At 38.7% G+C, this 27,283-nt stretch overlaps 1 protein-coding gene and 1 pseudogene across 2 annotated transcripts in view; both read right to left on the bottom strand.

Annotated features, from left to right (window-relative positions):
- Positions 1-27,283, bottom strand: part of SLC35F1 (solute carrier family 35 member F1) — a 410,408-nt gene that overhangs the window by 307,703 nt on the left and 75,422 nt on the right. The window lies entirely within an intron of this gene.
- RPL29P4 (ribosomal protein L29 pseudogene 4) lies at positions 10,400-11,041 on the bottom strand (annotated as a pseudogene).

Here is a 27,283-nt window from a genome sequence, read left to right as displayed (position 1 = left end):
AGTCATTACTTCCCTGGCATGCAAATTTCCTTGTAAGCTAACAACGAAACTTCTTTGTCAGGAAGGTGGACACTCGACATCAGAAAAATTTTTTCTTAAGTAGGCATAGGTGGAACATAAATCTAAGAGAAAATATCTGAAAACAGGATTGGACAAATTTGAACTAGAAATCTTTTAAGAAAATGAGAATAAAATTTATACTAAGGAACTGAGGTTGTCATTTTGTGCACTCAGTTTTACTGAGTGCATAATTACAAGCACACTAGAAAATGGCAACACAAGACAAAAGAATAGAGGGTGTTAATGTACTTTACAGAGTTGTAGTCAAAAGATGATTGGATGTGTAGGATTCAAATTGCTGCCTTGCCTCTAATTAGCTCTGTGACCCTGGGCAAAACTGTCCACTTGCATTAATGTGGAGGCACAGGGACCTGAAGGTGAAGAGCAAATCAGTGTTTTCTGTTTTCTTATACTTATTTGTTCTCTCAAAACAGTTCTACTTAGATTTCCTTAGATTTAAAAATGGGGAGATATGTGACAAGCCGGACCAGGTGGCATTCTGGGATTTACTGAGCAATGTGACATTGCCTATGTCCTGACCTCAGGCATCTTTGATTCCACAGTGAACTGCCATTTAACCACCTGTAAAATAAACCTAATGTCTAATTTTGGAAAATTAAAGAGTACCACCATCTTTAGGATCTCCTTAATCTGCCTAATCCCTTTATCCTCTATCCATGAAGGCAGAAGCCAGATCTGTTGTGTTCTCCCTATGGTATCCCAAGTGTGAGCACAGTGCCTGACACGTGGCAGGCACCCAGCAAATATTTGTAGAATAAATGAATAATTCGACACACCAAAATCACCAGAGTATCTTGATTTGTTGCTCGTTAACTGGACATAGATACAGAAAGTGATAAATGACACTTCACGACAGTACACGAGTATCAACACAAAAGATATTTCTAAGGGCTGTAACTATTTTAAGTTCTCCAACGTGATATGTTCAATAATTATAATAGTACCATCTGAAATCCTTCATATAGGTCTTTAGTTTATATTAACAGAAATGAAAACATGAGCAGAAGAGCCATATTCTGAGGGAAAGTACAAAGAAACAAACTCCAGAGGGAGTTTAGACAGTGGAAGCAAAATATTAAAGATTGTTATTCCCCAAAGCAATGGATAGACTTTTAAACAGAGGCTGTTGCCATCTGCAGTTGTCACTGACCATCTGCTTAGGTCTAATCTGGTCTGTCACTAGCATTAAATATAGGTTAAAATTCTGTTTTTCTAAGTAAATTCCAGAAAAGGTTCTCTTATCCTGAATTGTGAGCTAAATTTTCATTCTTGGGCTATTTCAGCAAGAATATTATTAAATGGCTCCATAAGGTCAGGCCCATGGACCGTCTAGCCCAATATTCTGTGAGTGATGGCAGCCACATGCTGTAACTTTTATTACGAACTTCCTCAGAGTCCAGCTTCTGCACTGTTTGTAAACATCAAACCTGAAATTAATTTAAATATTGACCCCAACATATCAATGTCATGCATGGGCATGGTAGGCAGATTTCTCAGTTGCTCCTCCAAATTCAAGCCCCCTGCTGTGCACACCCTACATAATCTTCTTCCCTTGCAGGCAGGTGGAGCCTATAAATACAATGTGATAGTCGCTGCTTTTTTTTTTTCTTTTTTGCTGTGTACTACTTAAAAATTATTTTATTGGTATATAACAGTTGTACATATTTTGGGGGCACATATGATATTTTGATACATGTATACAATGTCTAGTGATCAAATCAGGGTAATTGGGATATACATCATCTCAAACATTTATCTAGCTTACGATTATAGAAGACTCTGTTGTAGCTGACCAGAGGAGGATTAAAAGTCAGAGATATGCACTGGTCCTGGAAAGAGCAAATATCCATGTGTTGAAAGGGCCTATGGAGACCACAGGAACTAGAGTTGGTCTCCAATTGCTGGAAGTAGCCCCCCGCCAACAGCTAGCAAGAAAAATGGGATGTGAGTCGTATGGCTGCAAGGAACCGAATTCTCCAACATGAGCTGAGAAGAAGACCTGAAGCTCCAGAAAAGAAATGCAGCCCCACCTGCAGACAAGAACTGCAGCTCAACCTAAAACTGAATTCTCCAACATGAGCCAAGAAGACCCTGAGCTCCAGATGTAAGAACTGCAGCCCAACCTGAGCAGAGGACCCAATTAGCCCATACCTGGACTCCTGACCCACAGAAATGTGAGATAATAAATGGGTGTTTGTTTCAAATTTGTGGTCATGTGTTACACAGCAAAAAAATTCTAATAAATCAGATAAAGAATAATGAGCATATTATAAAATTTTATGAATGAGTGGATTGATAAGGTAAGTGAAATCCAGTTTACTTTCTTTGAAAGGATAAACTCCAGTTTACAATGATTGAACTCAGGGGTATGCTTGGAACATGAGCCATCACATAATAAAGAGTGCACCCCTGAAGTCACTACAACCATGGGGATTACAGCTTGGTGGAAGACCACATGCCCTCCATTGCCTAGCACAATGTCCGGCACATAGTAGGTGGTTGCTGTGGTTTGAATATTTCTCCCCTCCAAAACTCATGTTAAAATTTAATTCCCAATGTGACAGTATTGAAAGGTGGGGGTCTTTAAGAGGTGACTGGGTCATGAATAGCGGATTAAGAGGTTATCACAGGAGTGGCACCAGTGACTTTCTAAGAGGAGAGTGACCTCAGCTCCCCCACCGTGTGTAGAGAGTCCCCGCTTCAGCAAGAAGGCCTTCATCAGATGCAGTGTCTTGGCATTTGACTGCTCAGCCTCCATAATTACAAGAGATAAATTCCTTTTCTTTACAAACTACCCAATTTCAAGTATTGTTATAAGCAACAGAAAATGAATTAAGACAGTGGTAAAAAAAAAAAACAACATGTGTTGTCAAATTAATAAACACTGAATAAATACATTTATTAATATATAACATGTTTTCTGAAAAATTAAGAAAATGGTGAACATATTTCTTTATAATTTGTAGTCTAAAGTTATTAACATTTACACACATGTAGCATGTGTGTAACATGCATGTAACATATTCACATACATGTTAACAAGTGGTTAAAGAACTACTCATCTCATGAGCTACTTCTGGGAGTGAATTCAGGGGGGTGTGTATGGAAGGACATTTACTTTTTATTGTGTGTACTTTACATACTTGGAAATTTTTGCATTAAATGTCAATTTTTTAATGATAAGAGGATATACTTTAAGAATAGAAAGATCTAAAAGCATGCCTGGAATCACACACTTTATTTATTTATTTTTAATTTAGTTATTTTTAGAGACAGAGTCTTGCTCTATCACCCAGACTGGAGTGCAGTAGCGTGGTCACAGTTTACTATAGCTTCCAACCCCTAGGCTCAAGTGATCTTCCTGCCTCAGCCTCCCAAATAGCTAGGACTACAGGTATGCATCACCATGCCCAGATAATTTTTAAAAATTTTTTGTAGAGATGGGGTCTCATCATGTTGTCCAGGCTGATCTTGAACACCTGGTCTCAAACAATCCTCTCCCCTTGGCTTCCCAACGTGCTGGGATTACAGGTATGTGCCACCACACCTGGCCAAATCAGATACTTTTTAAAGTTTAACACTGCAGGAGAAAGCCTTCTTATCATTACTCTCGACATTTTTTCAGACATTTGTAGTAATGATGATTATGCCACTCAATTAGGAAGGCATGTCTTTTTGAGGATCTATTTTACTAGATACTTTATGAATGCAAAGAAGCAATATCCTAAAAACAAACCAAAAAATGATAATAGCAATAATTCTAACTTAATCTACTATGCATCATGGATTATGCTAAGTACTTGACATATTATCTCATAGATTTTTCCCTCAGGGAGCTCAAAATTTATTTGAATAAATCAATTGTAATTATAATTGTAAAATTATAAAATCAAATATAATTCTAAGTTATAAACTTATATAATTAACAAAAATAATTAACAATTCTAGGCAGCATCTATGTGCCAAGGTAGGCTGGGATGTAAGTTGTAGAAGCAGTAAGTGAAATTCAGAGGAAGAAGTGATCCTATGGGAAGGAGGCACAGAGGAGGATTCATAGAGGAGCTGGAGGATCAGCAGAAACCAGTTTGGCTGTATCAGACGGTGGGTCAGGTAATTGGTTAGTGCTAGATCATGGACTTGGATAGCCAAAGGAAGCATTCCAATCCAAATGCATACTTATTTATTGTATTGGGGGGAAATACTGTGAGTAACAGAAAGCTGCTAAAAGTTTCTGATGCTAAAGTGGTTTAAGTAGGTTAACTTCTCAAGGAGGGGGAGAACAGGGTGGAGGACAGGAGAGAAGGAGGGAAGGAGAACATTCAGGGAAACACAGCTGTGGTTTCAGCATGGAGAAGATGAGACTAAAATTGGGCAAAATCATAAGACTAGGAAGAATAGGGAATGTCTAGAGTCACCCTAAAGGATGAATTAAAAGGGTAGTTATTAAACAGTTTGGGTAACATCAGAGAAAAAATAAATAAAGAAGACACTATGGTTTCAAGTCTACATGACTGGGAGAACAGTGGTTTCATTGAAAGAAACAGGGACAATGCTGTTCAATGGCCCCCACAATTTCTAGAGTAATGGTCAAGCTCCTAAGTGTCACACTGAAGGCTTCCTTGTGACTTGGCCAGTTTTCTCTCTTCTCCACAACCTGTATGCATGTGAGCAGGCACACACGCATAGGGACCATACTACCAGGGGACCTCTGAACACATCAGGCAGTTCCACTCCTCCATACCTTTTCTCCTCTTCTTGCTTTCTTCTAGCTATACATCACATTGTCTTTCTGTAAGACCTCCTCTGGAAACTCTTCTCAGAATGACGAGTCTAACTGAGATAACCTTTTCCTTTTCATATCCTAGCATGCCTGTGACTAAATACCTCTGTCATGACATCCACCATGTTGTAGGCATGTGTTTTTATGTGTTTGTCTGTTTCTCTGCCTGAGACTGTATATTCCCTTATTTGATTTTGTATGACCAGCAACTAGATCTATCTCTAGCACCTAACAGACACTCAATAAGTATTTGTTGAGGCCAGGTACGATATTGGCTTGCCTGTATTCCTCAGCACTTTGAGAGGCCAAGGCGGGAGGATCACTTGAGGCCAGCCCAGGAAAAATATCAAGACTTCATCTCTACAAGGAAATTAAAAAATGAGCCAGGCTTGGTGGCATGGACCTGTAGTCTCAGCTACTCAGGAGGCTCAAGTGGGAGGATCACTTGAACCCAGAAGTTTGAGGCTGCAGTGAGCTATGATCAGGCTGCTGCATTCCAGCCTGGGCTACAGCATGAGACCCTGTTTTTAAAAAATAAAAAATAAAAAAATTGAAAACAAGATTGTTGAATAAATTTTAAACTGAGTTTTTCTGAATTTTAGGTGATGGTAGGACAGAATCTAGTAGGATTAGAACTTTGTTTTCCAAAACAATGGTTAGTACATTGTTTACATAGGATTTAAGTTTCAGACAATAAGCAAAATATACACAATTTAACTTAGCACTTTCAGTCATCACTAAAACTCTCAGTGATAAAACAGACATTCTGGATATTAAATGTAACCCCAAACGTTTTTGTGGATATTTCTCCATAAGAACATTTAGAGATTACTCAATTTCAGGATTTGAAATGAATAAAAATGAAAACTTCAAAAGAGCACTCTCAGACACCTAAATCATCCTGTGCAATCATCAACTTCCAAGAAGAAATATAAGCTTAGTAAAAATTTAACAAATTGAAGGTGGCCTGGTGCATATTTATCCAGATTAATTACTGAATTTGCAAAATACAGGACCTCCATACAAAGACTGATAAATAATAACAATATCTTAGTGACTTACATTGGTAAGTTACTTTCACTTGCATTTTGCATTTGAGTCTTACAATATCCCTGTTGAGATATCACTATATCACAAAATAAGGATAGCCAAGATATCACTATCCCTACTTCATGAATAAGGATACTGAGACTGAACCAGTTCTGAATCTCTCCTCTTACCTCATCTCCCTCATGTGAGCAGTAACTCTGCTTTCTTTTTGATTTTGCTTTCCTCATTTCTCTCTGCCAGGAAGGGCAGATCCATGTTCTGTGAGATCTGAAGCTTTATATAATTTTGAGTGCTCTCTTTTAAAAAAAAATGTAAAATCATTAATATAAAATTAGGTATGAAATGTAACTTTAAACCTTCACATATATTAAGTCATGTTATCTTCAGAACAACCTCATGTTTGTAACAGGAACTGGGATGATCTCCATTTACCGATGAGAAAACTGAATTATAATTTAAACTTTCTCTTTCCATTATTCTCCCTCAACATCTGAACAGCACACTCTTAGCTTATATCCAGAAATGCCCCTCAAAGGGCACATTAGTGCCCAGACCTCAATAAGGACAACCTACCTAGCTCACCATGCATCATTGATGTGACCCATCCGAAGACCACAGCCGGCAGGTTGCCATGGGAACCAGGACCAGAACCAACCAGAACCTGCTGCACCTAGACTTATGCATTCCATGATGTTATCCTGGTAACTACAGAGTTAACTATGTTTATAGAATCTCATAAACAATCCTCTTTCATTATTTTGGATTTGCTGGAAGAGTTATCTTAACCTCTTCAGACAGTCCTAAGCCTGTACACATGAGGACTCAGCCATGCCACAGCAAAAGAAATTCTGACATGCTGGAGCCTTGAGAGCCCACATATCCTGAACTATTTTATCCTGAGATTTCAATGATATTTTATAACTAAACCTTTCTGGATGTAATTTAAGACACACTTATTGTCAGTTCATTCATTATTCTGTTTCCTCCTAAATAAGTAGTGCAATATATGTATATGCTATTTGATTTACTGAGCACAATCTAGATATTGTGTGCAGAGATAACAATACTGCATAAGACTGACTTCATAGCCACAGGGAGGTGTAAAGAGGTGAAGTAACCCTTGAGAATGCACATATAACTGAAATAATATAAAACTGATCTGATAATAGCATGGTTGGAGTTCTATGAATGATTGTCAATTTTTTTAATTCTCAAAAATAATGTTGGGTTTCTTTTTAATAATTCCACTTTTACTGATCTCTTATGCCTTTTCTTCCAGACAGGTTAGAAATTCTCATATCATTAAAAAGGTTAAGTTTTTGCATATGTCTGAAAATTATCTCTGATAGCAAACAGTCACCTGAGAAAGGGTCGATATGACCTTGAAAAAATTATTATTTAAACTAGAAAGAAAGAAATTCTTTTTTTATCTTCTTTTTTTAAATTTTATTATTATTATTATACTTTAAGTTTTAGGGTACATGTGCACAATGTGCAGGTTAGTTACATATGTATACATGTGCCATGCTGGTGTGCTGCACCCATTAACTCGTCATTTAACATTAGGTATATCTCCTAATGCTATCCCTCCCCCTCCCCCTACCCCACAACAATCCCCAGAGTTTGACGTTCCCCTTCCTGTGTCCATGTGTTCTCATTGTTCAGTTCCCACCTATGAGTGAGAACATGCGGTGTTTGGTTTTTTGTCCTTGCGATAGTATGCTGAGAATGATGATTTCCAATTTCATCCATGTCCCTACAAAGGACACAAACTCTTCATTTTTTATGGCTGCATAGTATTCCATGGTGTATATGTGCCACATTTTCTTAATCCAGTCTATCAATGTTGGACATTTGGGTTGGTTCCAAGTCTTTGCTATTGTGAATAGTGCCGCAATAAACATACGTGTGCATGTGTCTTTATAGCAGCATGATTTATAGTCCTTTGGGTATATACCCAGTAATGGGATGGCTGGGTCAAATGGTATTTCTAGTTCTAGATCCCTGAGGAATCGCCACACTGACTTCCACAATGGTTGAACTAGTTTACAGTCCCACCAACAGTGTAAAAGTGTTCCTATTTCTCCACATCCTCTCCAGCACCTGTTGTTTCCTGACTTTTTAATGATTGCCATTCTAACTGGTGTGAGATGGTATCTCATTGTGGTTTTGATTTGCATTTCTCTGATGGCCAGTGATAGTGAGCATTTTTTCATATGTTTTTTGGCTGCATAAATGTCTTCTTTTGAGAAGCGTCTGTTCATATCCTTCGCCCACTTTTTGATGGGGTTGTTTGTTTTTTTCTTGTAAATTTGTTTGAGTTCATTGTACATTCTGGATATTAGCCCTTTGTCAGATAAGTAGGATGTGAAAATTTTCTTCCATTTTGTAGGTTGCCTGTTCACTCTGATGGTAGTTTCTTTTGCTGTGCAGAAGCTCTTTAGTTTAATTAGATCCCATTTGTCAATTTTGGCTTTTGTTGCCATTGCTTTTGGTGTTTTAGACATGAAGTCCTTGCCCATGCCTATGTCCTGAATGGTAATGCCTGGGTTTTCTTCTAGGATTTTTATGGTTTTAGATCTGACGTTTAAGTCTTTAATCCATCTTGAATTACTTTTTGTATAAGGTGTAAGGAAGGGATCCAGTTTCAGCTTTCTACATATGGCTAGCCAGTTTTCCCAGCACCATTTATTAAATGGGGAATCCTTTCCCCATTGCTTGTTTTTGTCAGGTTTGTCAAAGATCAGATAGTTGTAGATATGTGGCGTTATTTCTGAGGGCTCTGCTCTGTTCCATTGATCTATATCTCTATTTTGAAACAAGTACCATGCTGTTTTGGTTACTGTAGCCTTGAAGTATAGTTTGAAGTCAGGTAGTGTGATGCCTCCAGCTTTGTTCTTTTGGCTTAGGATTGACTTGGCGATGCAGGCTCTTTTTTGGTTCCATATGAACTTTAAAATAGTTTTTTCCAATTCTGTGAAGAAAGTCATTGGTAGCTTGATGGGGATGGCATTGAATCTATAAATTACCTTGGGCAGTATGGCCATTTTCACAATATTGATTCTTCCTACCGATGAGCATGGAATGTTCTTCCATTTGTTTGTATCCTCTTTTATTTCATTGAGCAGTGGTTTGTAGTTCTCCTTGAAGAGGTCATTCATGTCCCCTGTAAGTTGGATTCCTAGGTATTTTATTCTCTTTGAAGCAATTGTGAATGGGAGTTCACTCATGATTTGGCTCTCTGTTTGTCTGTTACTGGTGTATAAGAATGCTTGTGATTTTTGTACATTGATTTTGTATCCTGAGACTTAGCTGAAGTTGCTTATCAGCTTAAGGAGATTTTGAGCTGAGACAATGGGGTTTTCTAGATATACTATCATGTCATCTGCAAACAGGGACAATTTGACTTCCTCTTTTCCTAATCGAATACCCTTTATTTCCTTCTCCTACCTAATTGCCCTGGACAGAACTTCCAACACTATGTTGAATAGGAGTGGTGAGAGAGGGAATCCCTGTCTTGTGCCAGTTTTCAAAGGGAATGCTTCCAGTTTTTGCCCATTCAGTATGATATTGGCCGTGGGTTTGTCATAGATAGCTCTTATTATTTTGAGATATGTCCCATCAATGCCTAATTTATTGAGAGCTTTTAGCATGAAGCGTTGTTGAATTTTGTCAAAGGCCTTTTCTGCATCTATTGAGATAATCATGTGGTTTTGTCTTTGGTTCTGTTTATATGCTGGATTACATTTATTGATTTGCATATATTGAACCAGCCTTGCATCACAGGGATGAAGCCCCCTTGATCATGGTAGATAAGCTTTTTGATGTGCTGCTGGATTCCGTTTGCCAGTATTTTATTGAGGATTTTTGCATCAATGTTCATCAAGGATATTGGTCTAAAATTCTCTTTTTTGGTTGTATCTCTGCCAGGCTTTGGTATCAGGATGATGCTGGCCTCGTAAAATGAGTTAGGGAGGATTCCCTCTTTTTCTATTGATTGGAATAGTTTCAGAAGGAATGGTACCAGTTCCTCCTTGTACCTCTGGTAGAATTCGGCTGTGAATCCATCTGGTCCTGGACTCTTTTTGGTTGGTAAGCTATTGATTATTGCCACAATTTCAGAGCCTGTTATTGGTCTATTCAGAGATTCAACTTCTTCCTGGTTTAGTCTTGGGAGGGTATATGTGTCGAGGAATTTATCCATTTCTTCTAGATTTTCTAGTTTATTTGCGTAGAGGTGTTTGTAGTATTCTCTGATGGTAGTTTGTATTTCTGTGGGATCGGTGGTGATATCCCCTTTATCATTTTTTATTGTGTCTATTTGATTCTTCTCTCTTTTCTTCTTTATTAGTCTTGCTAGTGGTCTATCAATTTTGTTGATCCTTTCAAAAAACCAGCTCCTGGATTCATTAATTTTCTGAAGGGTTTTTTTGGGTCTCTATTTCCTTCAGTTCTGCTCTGATTTTAGGTATTTCTTTTTTTTTTTTTTCCTGCCTCAGGTTTATTTGTACAAATAGCACAGGAGGACCCCAGCCCCATGCAGATGATAGCCCAGGGGTGGGGGTGGGGGGTCGCACCAGTCCTTCTGTCCTCATGTTGGCAGAGATATCTACTCTGAAGCCTTTGTAGGGGCCTGGGTACCTTTGGGAGCCTGAGCTGGAACTGAAGCTGGAGCTGCAGCCTGGGCCTTGGTTTGATCCTTGGCCTTGGCCTTGGCCTTTGGCCGGCACAGCCTGAGCCCCTTGGCAATACGGGCAAGAGCACGCTTCCCAAGCTTGGGGTGGGCAACGTAGGCATGTCGATCGAGCTTGCAGCTGACTCCCTTTGGGATCTTGGGCTTAACCTCCTTGGGCTTTACGAGGGCCTTGATAGCCTCGGCACGTGCACTCATGGCCTTGGCATTGTTGGCCTGCATCTTCTTTAGGCCCTTTTTGTTGTGCTTCTTGGCAAAGCGCATGTTCCTCAGGAACTTGGGGTCCACCCCCTTAAGAGATTCGTATCTTTGTGATCGGGGTTTCTTGATACCATTTCTGTGCCATTTTCGGGACTGGTTGTGTGTGGTGTGGTTCTTGGACTTGGCCATGTCTGCACCATAAGCCGCGGCTCCCGAAGTGCCTAGAACCGGAAGAGCTGATTTTAGGTATTTCTTGCCTTCTGCTAGCTTTTGAATGTGTTTGCTCTTGCTTTTCTAGTTCTTTTAATTGTGATGTTAGGGTGTCAATTTTGGATCTTTCCTGCTTTCTCTTGTGGGCATATAGTGCTATAAATTTCCCTCTACACACTGCTTTGAATGTGTCCCAGAGATTCTGGTCTGTTGTGTCTTTGTTCTCATTGGTTTCAAAGAACATCTTTATTTCTGCCTTCATTTCCTTATGTATCCAGTAGTCATTCAGGAGCAGGTTGTTCAGTTTCCATGTAGTTGAGTGGTTTTGAGTGAGTTTCTGAATCCTGAGTTCTAGTTGGATTGCACTGTGGTCTGAGAGATAGTTTGTTATAATTTCTGATCTTTTACATTTGCTGAGGACAGCTTTACTTCCAAGTATGTGGTCAATTTTGGAATAGGTGTGGTGTGGTGCTGAAAAAAATGTATATTCTGTTGATTTGGGGTGGAGAGTTCTTTAGATGTCTATTAGGTCCACTTGGTGCAGAGCTGAGTTCAATTCCTGGGTATCCTTGTTAACTTTCTGTCTCGTTGATCTGTCTAATGTTGACAGTGGGGTGTTAAAGTCTCCCATTATTATTGTGTGGGAGTCTAAGTCTCTTTGTAGGTCACTCAGGACTTGCTTTATGAATCTGGGTGCTCCTGTATTGGGTGCATATATATTTAGGATAGTTAGCTCTTCTTGTTGAATTGATCCCTTTACCATTATGTAATGGCCTTCTTTGTCTCTTTTGATCTTTGTTGGTTTAAAGTCTGTTTTATCAGAGAATAGGATTGCAACCCCTGCCTTTTTTTGTTTTCCATTTGCTTGGTAGATCTTCCTCCATCCTTTTATTTTGAGCCTATGTGTGTCTCTGCACGTGAGATGGGTTTCCTGAATACAGCACACTGATGGGTCTTGACTCTTTATCCAATTTGCCAGTCTGTGTCTTTTAATTGGAGCATTTAGTCCATTTACATTTAAAGTTAATATTGTTGTGTGTGAATTTGATCCTGTCATTATGATGTTAGCTGGTTATTTTGCTCGTTAGTTGATGCAGTTTCTTCCTAGCCTTGATGGTCTTTACAATTTGGTATGATTTTGCAGTGGCTGGTACCGGTTGTTCCTTTCCATGTTTAGTACTTCCTTCAGGAGCTGTTTTAGGGCAGGCCTGGTGGTGACAAAATCTCTCAGCATTTGCTTGTCTGTAAAGGATTTTCTTTCTCCTTCAGTTATGAAGCTTAGCTTGGCTGGATATGAAATTCTGGGTTGAAAATTCTTTTCTTTAAGAATGTTGAATATTGGCCCCCACTCTCTTCCGGCTTGTAGAGTTTCTGCTGAGAGATCCACTGTTAGTCTGATGGGCTTCCCTTTGTGGGTAACCTGACATTTCTCTCTGGCTGCCCTTAACATTTTTTCCTTCATTTCAACTTTGGTGAATCTGACAGTTATGTGTCTTGGAGTTGCTCTTCTCGAGGAGTATCTTTGTGGCGTTCTCTGTATTTCCTGAATCTGAATGTTGGCCTGCCTTGCTAGATGGGGGAAGTTCTCCTGGATAATATCCTGCAGAGTGTTTTCCAACTTGGTTCCATTCTCCCAGTCACTTTCAGGTACACCAATCAGACGTAGATTTGATCTTTTCACATAGTCCCATATTTCTTGGAGGCTTTGTTTGTTTCTTTTTATTCTTTTTTCTCTAAACTTCCCTTCTTGCTTCATTTCATTCATTTCATCTTCCATCACTGATACCCTTTCTTCCAGTTGATCGCATCAGCTGCTGAGGCTTCTGCATTCTTCACGTAGTTCTCGAGCCTTGGCTTTCAGCTCCATCAGCTCCTTTAAGCACTTCTCTGTATTGGTTATTCTAGTTATACATTCATCTAAATTTTTTTCAAAGTTTTTAACTTCTTTGCCTTTGGTTTGAATTTCCTCCTGTAGCTCGGAGTAGTTTGATCGTCTGAAGCCTTCTTCTCTCAACTCGTCAAAGTCATTCTCCGTCCAGCTTTGTTTCGTTGCTGGTGAGGAACTGTGTTCCTTTGGAGGAGGAGAGGCACTCTGCTTTTTAGAGTTTCCAGTTTTTCTGCTCTGTTTTTTCCCCATCTTTGTGGTTTTATCTACTTTGATGATGGTGATGTACAGATGGGTTTTTGGTGTGGATGTCCTTTCTGTTTGTTAGTTTTCCTTCTAACACACAGGACCCTCAGCTGCAGGTCTGTTGGAGTTTGCTAGAGGTCCACTCCAGACCCTGTGTGCCTGGGTATCAGCAGCTGTGGCTGCAGAACAGCAGATTTTCATGAACCGCGAATGCTGCTGTCTGATTGTTCCTCTGGAAGTTTTGTCTCAGAGGAGTACCCGGCCGTGTGAGGTGTCAGTCTGCCCCTACTGGGGGGTGCCTCCCAGTTAGGCTGCTCAGGGATCAGGGGTCAGGGACCCACTTGAGGAGGCAGTCTGCCCGTTCTCAGATCTCCAGCTGCATGCTGGGAGAAGCACTGCTCTCTTCAAAGCTCAGACGGAAATGCAGAAATCACCTGTCTTTTGCATCACTCAGGCTGGGAGCTGTAGACCGGAGCTGTTCCTATTCGGCCACCTTGGCTGCCACTCAAGAAATTCTTATTTAGCACAATTGTGCAAGTTTTTCCTTTTGTACTAATCTAGTACCCTAGGATTTCAAAAGTTTGTGCTAAAGTCACTGCAGAATCTTAACACTAAAGTTTGTTTTTGAGATTTTTACCTTAAAATTTATAAATGTAAAGTTTTAATATTCTTCTCTTAAATGTGGGTATTTCAGAAGAAGTAATCATATTAAATAGACAATTATTTATATACAAAAAATATGAAGAAATTAAATGTGCATGATACTCTTTGTAATGTTCCATCAGCCATGGAGAGCACTTATTTCCACAAAGATGGGAAATGGCATTAATGAATCTTCCCCTCTGCTGTAATTTTATTTCATTGACAATTTATTCAATAGTAATTTGCTCTTGTGAAAAACAGAAAATATGCATTTTCTTTTCTCACTTTCAAATAAAGAATACTATGATGATTTACGATACCATATAATCCATCCAATCTATGTCCAATTAAAATGGATTTGGCCATTTCTTAAACAGAACTTTGAATATGACTGCCCTTTTTTTAATTTTTATTTATTTATTTCATTTATTTATTTTTTCGAGACAGAGTCTTGCTCTGTAACCCAGGCTGGAGTGCAGTGGTGCAATCTAGGCTCACTGCAACTTCCAGCTCCCGGGTTCAAGCAATTCTCCTGCCTCAGCCTCTCGAGCAGCTGGGATTACAGGTGCCCACGACCACACCCAGCTAATTTTTGTATTTTTAGTAGAGACGGGGTTTCACCATGTTGGCCAGGCAGGTCTCAAACTCCTGACCTCATGATCCGCCCGCCTCGGCCTCCTAAAGTGCTGGGATTACATGCCCTTTGTATATATGGAAAATCTAAGTTCATTCATGGCTTCATTCATTCAATAAATATTTATTTAGCATTTGCCATATGTCTGGTCCTAGGTGTCAGGTATACAAGACAACATCCCTACCTCATTGAACTTAACTCTGGGTGGAATTCATGAAGGCTCTCATTGGTATTTAGCAAAACATTTGGATATATTTGTCCAACTTACTTTTCTAATGGGAAAATACATGCTCAGCTTTATAATACATTTCAGTGGTAGAAAATGGCAGAAGCAAAATTTTTGTTTAATGAAGGAACCCACAAGTATTGAAGCTATTCACCAGTTAAAAATAGTTACCTTGCAAAATAGTAAATTCTGTGACTCTGTTATTATTCTAGTAGTAAGAGAAAACTCAAGCTGGAGGATATTGGGAAGCCAAAATACTGCATAGGAGATTCCTACATTAGTTGAGAAGTCAGGAGAGAAGGTCCCCAACATGTATTGTAATTCAAGGAGTGCTGATATGAAATTTTACTTACAGATTGAAATGTCAGTTACATGAGTGATAAGGCATTGGCATTTACTTCGCAATAACATTTTAAATTGTATTAATTGGTTTGCTTGAAAATTGAAAAAAATAGGCATGTAAATTTTGGACACAGAAATGATTCAATAAGATATATATATATGTACTTATCTGTCATAGCTTTTTGGGGATCCCTAAGCATTCTGATGAAATTTAACCCACCAAATTATTCATGTCAGTGGACAGACATTCCACCAGTCAACAATATTTTATGCTAACATTTTTTCACAGATGAAGCATAGTACCTTTGGAGACAGACTGAATTCAAATCCCAGTGCCAAAAATATCAGCCACAAGGCTTTGAAAATATACCTTGCCCTCTGGGATTTAGTTTCTTCACTTATAAAATAGGGCTACTAATTAATAGTACCTGTCTCATAGGGTTGTAGTAAGGATTTGAAGAGTCTGGAAATAGCTCTTGTGAGGAGGTCTATGAAAGCTGTGGAAGGCAAAATGGCTTCCCAAAGCTGTCCATATCCTAATCCCTGGAATATGTTATGTTATATGGCAAAAGGGACTTTGCAAATGGAATGATGGTTATGTATCTTAAAATTGGGAGGTTATCCTGGGTGATCCAGGTGAACCCAGCCTAATCACAGGAGCTCTTAAGAGAATTTTCTCTAGCTGGAGCCAGAGAGATGCAGCAGAAAGGAAAGTTAAAGAGATTTAAAGTATAATGTTCTCAGCAATGTGACATTGCTGTTGAGGATGGGGGGGGCAATGTGATAAGAAATGCAGGTGGCCTTCAGGAGCTGAGAGAGGGTCCTGGCTTATAGGCAGCAAGGAAACAGGGACCTGAGTCCTACAACCACAGGGAACTTAATTCTGCTTAGAATTAAGCTGAACAAGCTTAGAAGTGGATTCTCCCCTAGCGCCTGCAGAGAAGAGCTCAGGCCATCTGACACTTTGATTTCTGTCTCTTGAGACCCAGTAAAGAGAAACCATCTAAGCCCACTCAGACTTCTGACCTGAAGAACCGTGAAATAACAAATTTGCATTGTTTCAAGTCACTAAGTATGTGGTAATTTGCTATGGCAGTGATAGAAAATGAACACACTTGCATTTGGACTTGCCCCAGAGCTGGAGCTGCCTGCCCTTTGTGCCACCTTTATTTACAGCAAACCTGAATTGAGGATATGTCATGGATAAATATAAAATTCATTTCTGCTAAGGAAACAAGAAATCAATTAAAGGCAAAGAAGCAGGAAGACAACTGTCAGAGTAAGACTGCTCAGATTTCTAGAGTTTTCTTCAGGCTAGGATCTAAATTATGCTATAACTATGAACAGGTGAAAGCTGAGTTGTTCTCGGGGAATACAGAAAAGTTCTCAAAGGATTAGTCCACACTCATTTGTTGTACTTGAATTAAGCTGAAAGATATAAAAAGGCTTCCTTCTTGCTCACTGCTATATCCATAGTACCTGCCACACAGTAACTGCTCAATAAAAATCTATTAATTGTTTAAATGAACGAATATTTACAATGACTGAAAATAGGAAACTATTATTATGTTTTTTCTTAAACTGGTACTTCTGTAAAAATATCAGCTAAAGGAATGACTATAATTTCAAAAAATTCAAATTTATTTTGGCTAAAGATTATGAAGACCATGTGGTTAAGGGTAAACATTACCATAGGAAGCCACATGTCCAAGCAGTGATTCGAGAGTAGGGGGTTAAAGAAGGATGCTGCTGTTCAGGCTCCAGAAGAGCTAAATGCATGCTGGCTATGCCCCAGCTCTGGCCAGGCACCCATGAGGGCAGAAAGAGCATGTTTCTATGGATTGGCTCATTAGGCTAATGGGCTGTTGGCACTTCTCTCCCAGGGCAGTTGAAACTTCTGAGGCTGACTGAGCAGGAAGAGAGAGCTCCCAGATCCCTTGTGATAAACGGGGTCTGTGGCTTTCTTTGCATGAATGGTTGCATTATGTGCAGATGTTCAGTGCACTTCCACAAGCTTTTATGGATGAATAAGTGGCATCATTATGGTGTGATTTGACCAGAAATGAAGCATGGCCCAATGCCATCTGCAAAATTCCTATCTTTCTGATAGATATTGTAGAGGGGTGAAGCTAATGAAACTAAAGTACTCTTCAGAGATACTGATGACTGCTGGAAAGTCTATCAATTAATTTCAAAATAAGGAATTGAATTTCTCTCTGCACTATTCTAGCTTTAAAAAACTTTCACTCTATTTCTTCATGGCACTTTAAAAATAATTATAAGCCATTCCATTAAAAATCTCTCTCATAGAGAAATAAATGGAGCTGAATAGGAAGTATTTCTAATGTCTACAAAAGTCAGCAATTTCTCTCAGTCAGAAAGGCATATTATGTACAGAGTAATCAAACTTCCTAATTTGGCTTCTCTGTGACCAAGATCTTCATACCTGCTTAGCTGAGGAGACAAAGAATAGATTTCGTGTTTATCAAATGATAACTGAGAGAAGACAAGAGGCGAAGAAGGACAAGAATGCAAAGGAAATAAATAGGGAGAGGGAATACTAAAGGAGTGGTTGGGAAGTTCACATCTGCTCCAATGTATAGGATATTTTAGAATATTAATAAAGAATACAGAATCATAACGATTTTTGGTTGATTTTTTTACACCATCCTTTTTCATTTCCCAAACTCAAGAAATGAACAAATTCAATGATGTTAAATATCTCATAAATGAAAGTAAATAATACTTTGTGTAAAACAGAAAACAATTACAAATCAAAGAATATACAAGAAGTTAAAAAGATGGAAAAGAGGAAAGAAAAAAATTTTTGTAAACCTAGAAAAAAAATCTGCTTGAATATTAGATCTCAGGATGGGAAAAGGCTTTCTACATAATGAACAAATTGAAAAGAATATATTAATAAGCTTAGCTATATTAATTTAAATCTTTCTATATCAAATATGCCATAACATTAAAAGGCAAAGAAAAACAGAGAAAAAATTTTCCCAACAAAAATAAATTATTTGATATCCTTAATATAGAGATAGAGCTTATAAAAATTTTGGTATCATGAGAAAAAAATGTTCAGTTGGACACAAACAGAGACATTTTTAAGTGGTCACTACATATATTTTGAAAATGTATCCCAGTACTAACCAAAAAAGTATAAAATAAAACAAGATACTATTTTCTATCAAGTGAGACAAGTTTTTTATTCCTTGTTAAAATCATACTACTTTGGATTGTCAAAGGTACCAAGAGACAGACTTGCCAGCAGGCATACAAAACAGATCCAAGTGACGAACAAAAATAAAAATCAGAAATGGATTAAAAGACGTATGCAGCAGGCTGTTCATAAAACCTTATTTAAGCACATGAAACTAGAAACACGTGGAGACTGGTTAACTATAACCATGGTTCAGCCATTGAAAATGTCTTCAAAGATTTCTTAAAGGCATGAGAATGTTTTCATGGTATGGCAAGTGAAAAATCAAGATTTAAAAAAACTTCATGTTCAGTACTCTAATTTAATTACAAAATTTATTTTCATCTATATAAGAAAGCCCTAGAAGTATATAAACCAAAATAGGAAGAGTGATTGTCTTTGGATTGTGGGAGGGAGAGGCAGTACTTGATTACTCAGTAGGTGGCCAGGGCACCAGCAGAGCAGAGGCAGTATTTTTTTTTTCTGAAAGAACTTCAAAATTAAAAAAACTAAAAGCAATGAATTAGTCATCATGTACAAAATCATATCACAGTTATACTTCTTTACATTTACTATGCAATTTAGTACAGTTTTCATTATGAAATACAAATGTGGGTTGAGGGCACTATATTCTACCCATTGCTTCACGACCTTGAATATCTTGATCTGGTCCCAGTTACAAATAATTTTTATTTTCTTCTTTGTTGCACTTTCAGTAAATTCTGCAATCAGAATACCCACTTAGTTTTCTAATCAGAAAAAAATTAAGAACTGGCAAACCACTCACTTTACACTCTTTTTTCATATTTGGTGGATGGTACCACTAATCCTCAAAAGTTGAACAAATCTCATTAAGACCTAGTCATTTATGAAGACTTACAGCAGAACCAGCCGCAGACTGGTGGATGGAGCCAACACTCCAACTGCAGCTAATACAGAGAAACCAGCCACCCCAGCTGAGTCTGGGTCTTCTCTCATCTCTCTGTACAACCTCTCTGCTATTAATACCCCTAATCTCTAACACGTCATAAAATCAAGAATTGATTTTAAAAGGACAAAGGCCTTCTTCTCCACCTTCTTTTACATACCTTCTGATACCTAGCACAGGACTCAGTACCCAGTAGGCACTTGCTCACAGAGTAATTCTAAGAACAAATGAGCTGGTGTACAGGCAATCACTCTGTAAAATGCAAATTGCAATGCAAATGCAAGCAAGGAGCAATTGATGAGTTGCCTTGAGCTGCACTATTTTGTACAACAGAATGTCCTATTTCTTCTTTGAATTTTGAAATTATTGAAATAATATACTTCTTCAGTTACCTAGTAACTTCCATGGAAATCTACCACCAGATAAACCAGAGAAGACATTTCACTGGGGAGGAGAAAGGATGGAGAAGCATATGGTGCAAACACAGCCTAAGTGTGAAATTCTTGTCTAAAACTACTCACACTTCCCAATGGCCTCCAGCGTGAGACAGAAATTCCTTAGTATACAGGTCTGGTTATTTCCTAGATAAAATAACTGTGACTCTAAAGCTCAGGATTCAGAATTCTAGTTCTGCAGTAAAATTCAGAAGTACACTGGAATGAAGGATCTTCACCTGATGCCTTTAATATTTTTTAATTTTTAAATAATTCAGGTGCCCTTAAAATGGAAACCATCCACTTAGCAACTTTTAACCAAGGGAAATAAAAACTCTCAGGTGCCATTTGGAATCAGATATTCAAGCAGAAAGAAAATACTGAATCTAGGTGCTTCACTGTCAGGACGATATGCTAAGTTGGACTCAGCTCTGCTACCAAAAAATATACCACATATATATAGTTTTATTCATAGTGCAAAATTACAAAATGGATAAAACATTGTTACTTGTCAGACCACATGAACTTGATATTTCTGTGAGGGCTTTGCTAGAAAATCAAGTTACAGGCTTTGCTCTAGTCTTTGTTTTTTTCCCTTTTCTTAAAGCATACCAAAGCTTTACTAGCATTCTTTCACCAGTCATTGCTTTACTTTATTCTACTTATAAACTATAACTATAAATTTATATCCATTCACTGAAAAAATGAATTAAATCCAACATTAAGTTTAGTAGTTGTTCCCAGTTTTAGGATATTTACCTTTAAACACTGTACTTAGAATTTACAAAAAATTAACAAAATAGCAAATCATTTATAAATTCAGAAATTACAGTCTAGTTTCCATTTTTAAAACTCCCTCGGTGAACCAAAGAGGCCTCAGAACATCCCAAGATTAAATGTTTGAGATAAAGCTGCCTCAAAATGAAAACTACCTAGGACAATCGGACCAAAAATTATTTTGAGTAGGAGGTCTTTTCTCCCAGACATGCCACTTCACATGCAGAAGAATCCCAAATTATCTGACAGGCTACAAGTGGAAAGCACTTCCTCCACTGGTGACAGTCTTCCAGAAAGCACAGTGCATGCTTTGACAGTACAGAGATGGTTTCCCATTAGGGGACAGAGAAAGGAATAAAATGTGTTCAGCTAAAAATGGTACAAGGATGCTGTTTGTGAAACTGTTTTGTCTGGAAACAGAGGCTCATTATTTACCACAATGTAACATTCGAGCTGCTGGGATTTGGGGAGTGGACAGGGAGTGGAGGGATTGCTGAATGCAATGACCCTTTCAGAGGTGACCTATGAGAAGTCACTGACTACGAATCATCCGAGACTTGAGTCCCAGTCAGCTCCCTGGGTACTACCAACTTCCTCTCTACCTATCTTTTTATGGAGATAATAACAACTGCTTCAAAATATGACACCTCCCAAAACTTACAAAGTAGGACTGTTTTTCTGATTAATATACATAACATAAAATTTGCCCATTTTAACCACTTTTAAGTGTGCAGTTTAGTGGCATTAAGTATATTCACATTGCTGTGTGACCATCACCATCATCCAACTCTGGAGCTTTTTCATCATCCCAAACAGAAACTCTGTACCCAATAAACACTAACTCCCCATTTGCTCCTACTGTAAATAGGACTTTAATAATAGAAACTAAGAAACCAACTCTCTCCCACATTATTAAGCCATGGTGTTTATCTTCTTCCAGGGGAACTTTTTGTGCTGGCACATTCCTCAGTATCACAAAAAAAATCAGAGTTAATGGTCAGGCTGGTCAATATTAATAACATTGGTACATCTCTCCATATTCAAATAATATCATTGAAACAACTTTCACACTTCTGGCTTATCTCCAAAGGACCATCTCGGTTGAGGGGCTGGCTCTGGGAAGTTTTCAACTCTGCATAAACACAAATATACCCAGGAGATTTGAGAGTTTTGTCATCCTACTGGTGTTCTCTGAAGAAAAGTCTCCTATGGCTTAGAGAAATCCTTATATTTTTGATTGAACTAAATTAAGAAAGTTAACTGAATTATGATATTGTATTAGCCTAGATGGGTTTGCTGCTCTGGGATATAAGGGAAGTGACTACAAGCAGAAAGTCCACCATCTTGTCTCCAACCTCAGGTTAAAATAATTATAGTTCAAAGTGATTCAAACACAAGAAATTCTGCTTTACACCTACACCAAGTTCATTCACTTAATAAATATGGTTGGGCACCTGCTGTACCCTGCTCTTTGCTGGGGCTCGAAACTCAGTAACGATGGAGCCCACACAATCCCTGGCTTTGTGGAGTTCTCAAGGAGTAATGTGTGTCCACTGGATTGCTCTAGAAAGAGTGTAGGTTTGGAGTGATGTAGGTTTTCTGGGCTCTCCTCTCTGTGGAGCTAGAAAGCCTGGTCATCCCTTTATGAATGGCCCACCGCTGTTGGGCTCTAACTGCACATCCCAAGCTTCAAGCCTCCTGGAAAAAACAACTATTTTTTTCAGCCTTTGAAAGTTCACTGCCTGGACTGCAAAATTTATAATTTTGCATTTGCCAATGAATATTGTCAGTTATTTAAAAAACACATAAAATAATGTGTTTTAGAAAAATTGCCAGGCATATAATTCACAAGCTCAATCTTTATACATCTGGGAGAGGATAGCACTTTACTATCCAAGCAGCTTATATCTGCAGAGCAAAATAATTATGGAAATATGAGTTTGTCTTTGTTCTTCCTAGATTCATTCCCTTTCTTTTCTACACCACCCCCATGCCATTCTTAAGCAGGTAATCACCAGGCTTTTTGATGCATCATTTAAGGGATTGGAAAGTGGAACAAGCTCAAATTCAAAAGCTTTGGTAAAACCCTAAGTCTGTGCAGAGTTTGGGCTGGGTGTCCTGGAGGAAGAGGGAAAAGAGATGAGGAGAGGAGGGAAGAAGAAAGAGGATAAGAAAAGGAGAAGGGAAGGGAGGAGGAGACGGAGAAGGAAAGAGAGAAAGAGAAAGAGAAGGAGAGAAGGAGGAAGAGGAAAAAAAGAAGGAGAAGAGGAAGGGGAAATGGACGAATAAGAGGAGGAGGAAGAAAAAGAACAAGAGGAGAAGGAAGAAAAAAAAAAGAAGGGAAAGAAGGAAACTAGAAGACTTACATTACTTGATATCAAGATATCAAACTTATCATCTAGTTCCAATAAAGACATCATGGAACTGACCCATGCACAAAGAGATGAGTGGATAGGGCCGAAGCAGATGTGCACATATATAGCTGCCTGATTTATGGCAAAGGTGGTCCTGCAGGACAGAGGCAAACAAATTGAGAAAGCAGTTAGGTGTGAGGCACAGGCTTGGCCTTTAACGTGATTTTTGTAAGAAGCATCCCTTCAACCCTGGCAGTTTATCTGAATGCCCTTCCTCTGCACTCCTTAGTACCCTAGGCATTTTTTAATTATTATACCTACCTAATTATGTAAGTCAGTGCCTTACCTGTCTGTATCATGAGCACCCACCTGATAGATAAGGAACTGAACTAAGCCTAAGAGGCCCAACACAGGCTGCTGGAAATCATCTCCAGCAGTAGGAGCTGCCAGTGATGTCGAGAGCAAAAGCTCTTCAGAGCTGGTAAAGAGAAATGGCACCTCAGATATATTTGATGCTGTCACATTTAACAAGTGAGGTAAATATACTGATTCCTCATCTTTCAAAATTCTCCAGCATAGAGGGACAGACTAACAATTTCCCACTAGTGGAGACGGAAAATCAGGCATGTGACACAGCATTGGGGTCAGCCAGGCAGAGGCAAAGGGCCCTCAGATGCCCAGGGGAAGAGGTGATCCGGAACAGGGCTTGGATGGAGGCCAATCAGTGAGCTTTACAAACATTCAGTTTCAAACATCCAACTTCCAGGGTGGCTCTAGCACTTGTAGAAAATAAAAAGAACATATAAAAACCTAAAACTATATCCTTAGTAAGTTTTTCCGAGTTAAGTAAGAAAAGTAAAACTGATTAATAAGCGGCCCCTGCATTTTTGGTCTGACATGAACAATTAGGGTAGTATAATAAATACCTTTCTGAGGCTCTGCCTGGACTGACATTTATTTTTCCTGAAAATTATCCTCAATCCAAGAGTGGTCTCTGATGGCCATGTTTAAACTACGGGAGCTATATCCCTGGCCACAGCTCATTGGCCCCAGAGCAGCCATCTGATCCAAGCTAAGCCAAACAGATTCTGTCTCCCAGGAAATGAGAACTGGGACACTGTTTAGTCTCTGGTGAGCTGTGAGAAGGCCATATTCCAATATGTAAATGGAGAAGCAGAAAAGACAAGCTTAAAGCAGACACTACAAAGAATCTGAAACAAGAGACCATCTGGCCTGACAGAGTGAGAAAGAGATGAAAACATAGCTGCCTAGCTTCCAAACATTTCCAGCCCTGCCCAGTCCTTTGTGATACCCCATCACATTAATTGCCTTTGGATTCCATGAGATACCCCTGGATCCCATCTCTGTTTACAATAAAGTTCCCCATTTTCATTCACGTTAGCGATATTTTCTGTTATTTGCAAACAAAGGAGGCCTAACTTTAAGACAGATATCCAACTTAAGTGCATGCATATTTACTTTTTTCTATAAATTTAAAGATACATTAAGAAAAACATGAACTAATTTGACGAGCTGTTTTCTGTCTTCACTAATTGAAAGACTTGCTAGTCAAAAAGAAATGAGTCAATGGATAGAGGTATTCACAGTTTCTCTGAAGATATTTTAACAACATACAGAGCATACGGCTTAAAAGTGTGTATAGATAGTTATGCCACTCAACTACAGGTATTCAATGGCCTCAGATGATCCTTTATGCTGTTTAATGAACATCTTGAGATGCTCCAATTAGAAATGTATAATGTAATGACTTTTTAATTGTTGCATTTTTCTACACAACAAACAACTCTGCATACAAGTTGAGCTATAAATTCAGATACCATTTCTCAAGCACTTTCTCCCTCCATGTGCCCATTACAAGTGAATTGTGAATTGTCTAATGTTTGTTTTTAGCTGAGTATCACCATTAAAAACAGAGACATTTAAATGAGTACCATCCCTGCTCAATTTAAAAAGTTACAGGCAACAAATTCAAGGGGCTAATTTGACTCAGGATATTCTTATCCTGTGATTCAACCTCTCAGTTTCAATCTATACTCACATCAGTTTGCTCAGCATTTACTATAGGAAGTTCATCAATAGGTATTAATGGAATGGGGAAAGAAACACATTATTTTTTATTCTCACATATGTGGTATCAAAAGCTCAGGCAACTACAGACTTTGATAGACTCCTGATTCAATTAAGGAAGTTTTATCAAAGTGTGATCTGTAGTATTCTTAGCTTTCTGTGCAATAGTATACATATATTGCATTTAATGAGGAAAGGAAGAATTAAGAAGTAGTGTAGAAGACAGTAACACCATTGTAGAAACAAATTGAGTTGTTAGCCAATGAGAGATGCAGTTTAGTGTAGGATGAAGGACTAGCGCTTCCACATCAGACATGTGTGAGTTACTCTCCCAGCTCTGTCATGCACTCTGGTTAATTCATATCCTTTCTAAGCCTCAGTTTACGCATCTGTAGAAAGAGAACAATAAATGCACATACTGCCTAGAGTTATTGTGAAGATTAAGTGATCTAACATTGCAAAGCCTGTATTGAGCTGGGGTTGGCAAACTTTTCCTGTGCAGGACCAGACAGTAAATATTTTAAGCTTTTCAGCAACTACCCAACTCTGCTGTTGTAGCGCAAAACCAGCCACAGAGAATCCATAAATGAATGGGCATGGCTGGGATCCAGTAACACTTAACTTCTGGGACACTAAAATTTGAATTTCATATACATTTATGTGTCATGAAATATTATTCCTTTTTTTTTTTTTTTTTTTGAGACCGAGTCTTGCTCTGTCGCCCAGAGTGCAGTGGCGCAATCTCGGCTCACTACAAGCTCGGCCTCCGAGGTTCACGCCATTCTCCTGCCTCAGCCTCCTGAGTAGCTGAGACTACAGGCACCCGCCACCACACCAGGCTAATCTTTTGTATTTTTAGTAGAGACAGGGTTTCACTGCGTTAGCCAGGTGATCTCCTGACCTCGTGATCTGCCTGCTTATTTCTTTTGATTTTTTTCATCCATTTAAAATTGTGAAAACAATTCTTAGCTTGCAAGCTGTATAAAAACAGGCAGTGAGTCTGCTCCACAATAAACTCTGAAAAATATTATTAGCATTGCCATTAATAATAGTAACTGAAGATAGAGGTTATATATTTGATAGTTGTGTTACTATCAAATATATAAGGAGTTTTTTCAAAGTAAATGTGTTTTTACTTATTTCCTACTGTTTAAACTGTTGTTGGAGGGCAGGTTATAACAAGTTTAGAATGGATGCCCTGAAGTAATACAATATACTTCTCAAAGGGTTCAAGAAGGACCAAGGAAGGCCAATTATCATCCCATTGTAGCTTCCATCTTTAGCTAGTCTAATTTTATACAGTGGCCTAGACACACGAGTTTAGATTCACCTACATGCCTAACATTCAAAAAATCAGGCCAGTCACAACAGGTGTAAGGGATCAGCATGAATTCTAACTAAACATAAAGAGAAAGACTGACCATTTCTGTTTTGATTTTTCAGCTGTACCACAAATGGGTTTTTATTATTTTATCTTTAAACACCTTTCTATTTCGCCAGTGAGGTCAGAATGAGGAAAGTTCTGTGGATCAGGAAAAAACTTTTTTTCCTATCTAAAAACATGGCATAGATTTACAGCTGCTTCTGAATTTTCTTTTCTTTTCTTTTTCTTTTTCGACACTGCGTCTCACTCTGTCACCCAGGCTGGAGTGCAATGGTGCAGTCTTGGCTCACTGCAACCTCTGCCTCCTGGGTTCAAGTGATTCTCCTGCCTCAGCCTCCTGAGTAGCTGGGATTACAGGCAACTGCCACCACACCCGACTAATTTTTTTGTATTTTTAGTAGAGACGGGATTTCACCATGTTGGCCAGGCGGGTCTCGAACTCCTGACCTCGTGATCCGCCAGCCTCAGCCTCCCAAAGTGCTGGGATTATAGGCGGGAGCCACCAAATGCTTCCTCCACAAAAGACTGTGTACAAGCCACTTGTCCAAAGGTGTGTGCTTGGAGTTGGTTTTCTAGGCCTCAGACTCATCTATCACCATCCTGTTGCTGACTGCCCTTTGAGACAGAGGGAATACAATGACAAGTCTATTGACAGAGTGCAGTAAAGGGAAAAATTATATTTTTCTTTTTTCTATACCAAGTGTTCTAGTCTAGGTCTCTCCAGTTTAATGAATAGAATCAAGAAAGGTAGGCAGACAGAGAAATAGGTGAAATTTAAATGTCACCACCTCATTAAGGTATTAGGGAATGATGCTGGATAATGAAGATCATGTAGCTGAGAACCTGAAGATGCAGAAAGGTTAATAAATGTATTTGTAGAGAGTCTCCTGGGTAATGGCCCAAAATCAGATTGGTTAATTTGCTGATATTTTAAAAGAAGTAATTATGTACAGAAAATTTGGAGAAAAAAAAACTACGTTTTTTTGTTTCAGTTCCATATTCATTCTCCATGGATCTTAGTGTCAGATCCGTATTCATTCTCTTTGAGTAGAAGTACCTCAAGCTCCAGATCTGATGCCTTAACTGCACTCTCTTCTGAGAAGTTCTCACTGATAATGTTCAT

This window comes from Homo sapiens, chromosome 6 (genome assembly GCF_000001405.40).
Source record: "Homo sapiens chromosome 6, GRCh38.p14 Primary Assembly".
Taxonomy (NCBI): domain Eukaryota; kingdom Metazoa; phylum Chordata; class Mammalia; order Primates; family Hominidae; genus Homo; species Homo sapiens.
The sequence above is the reverse complement of the archived record's forward strand: the minus strand, read 5'-3'. Positions and strand labels throughout refer to the sequence as shown.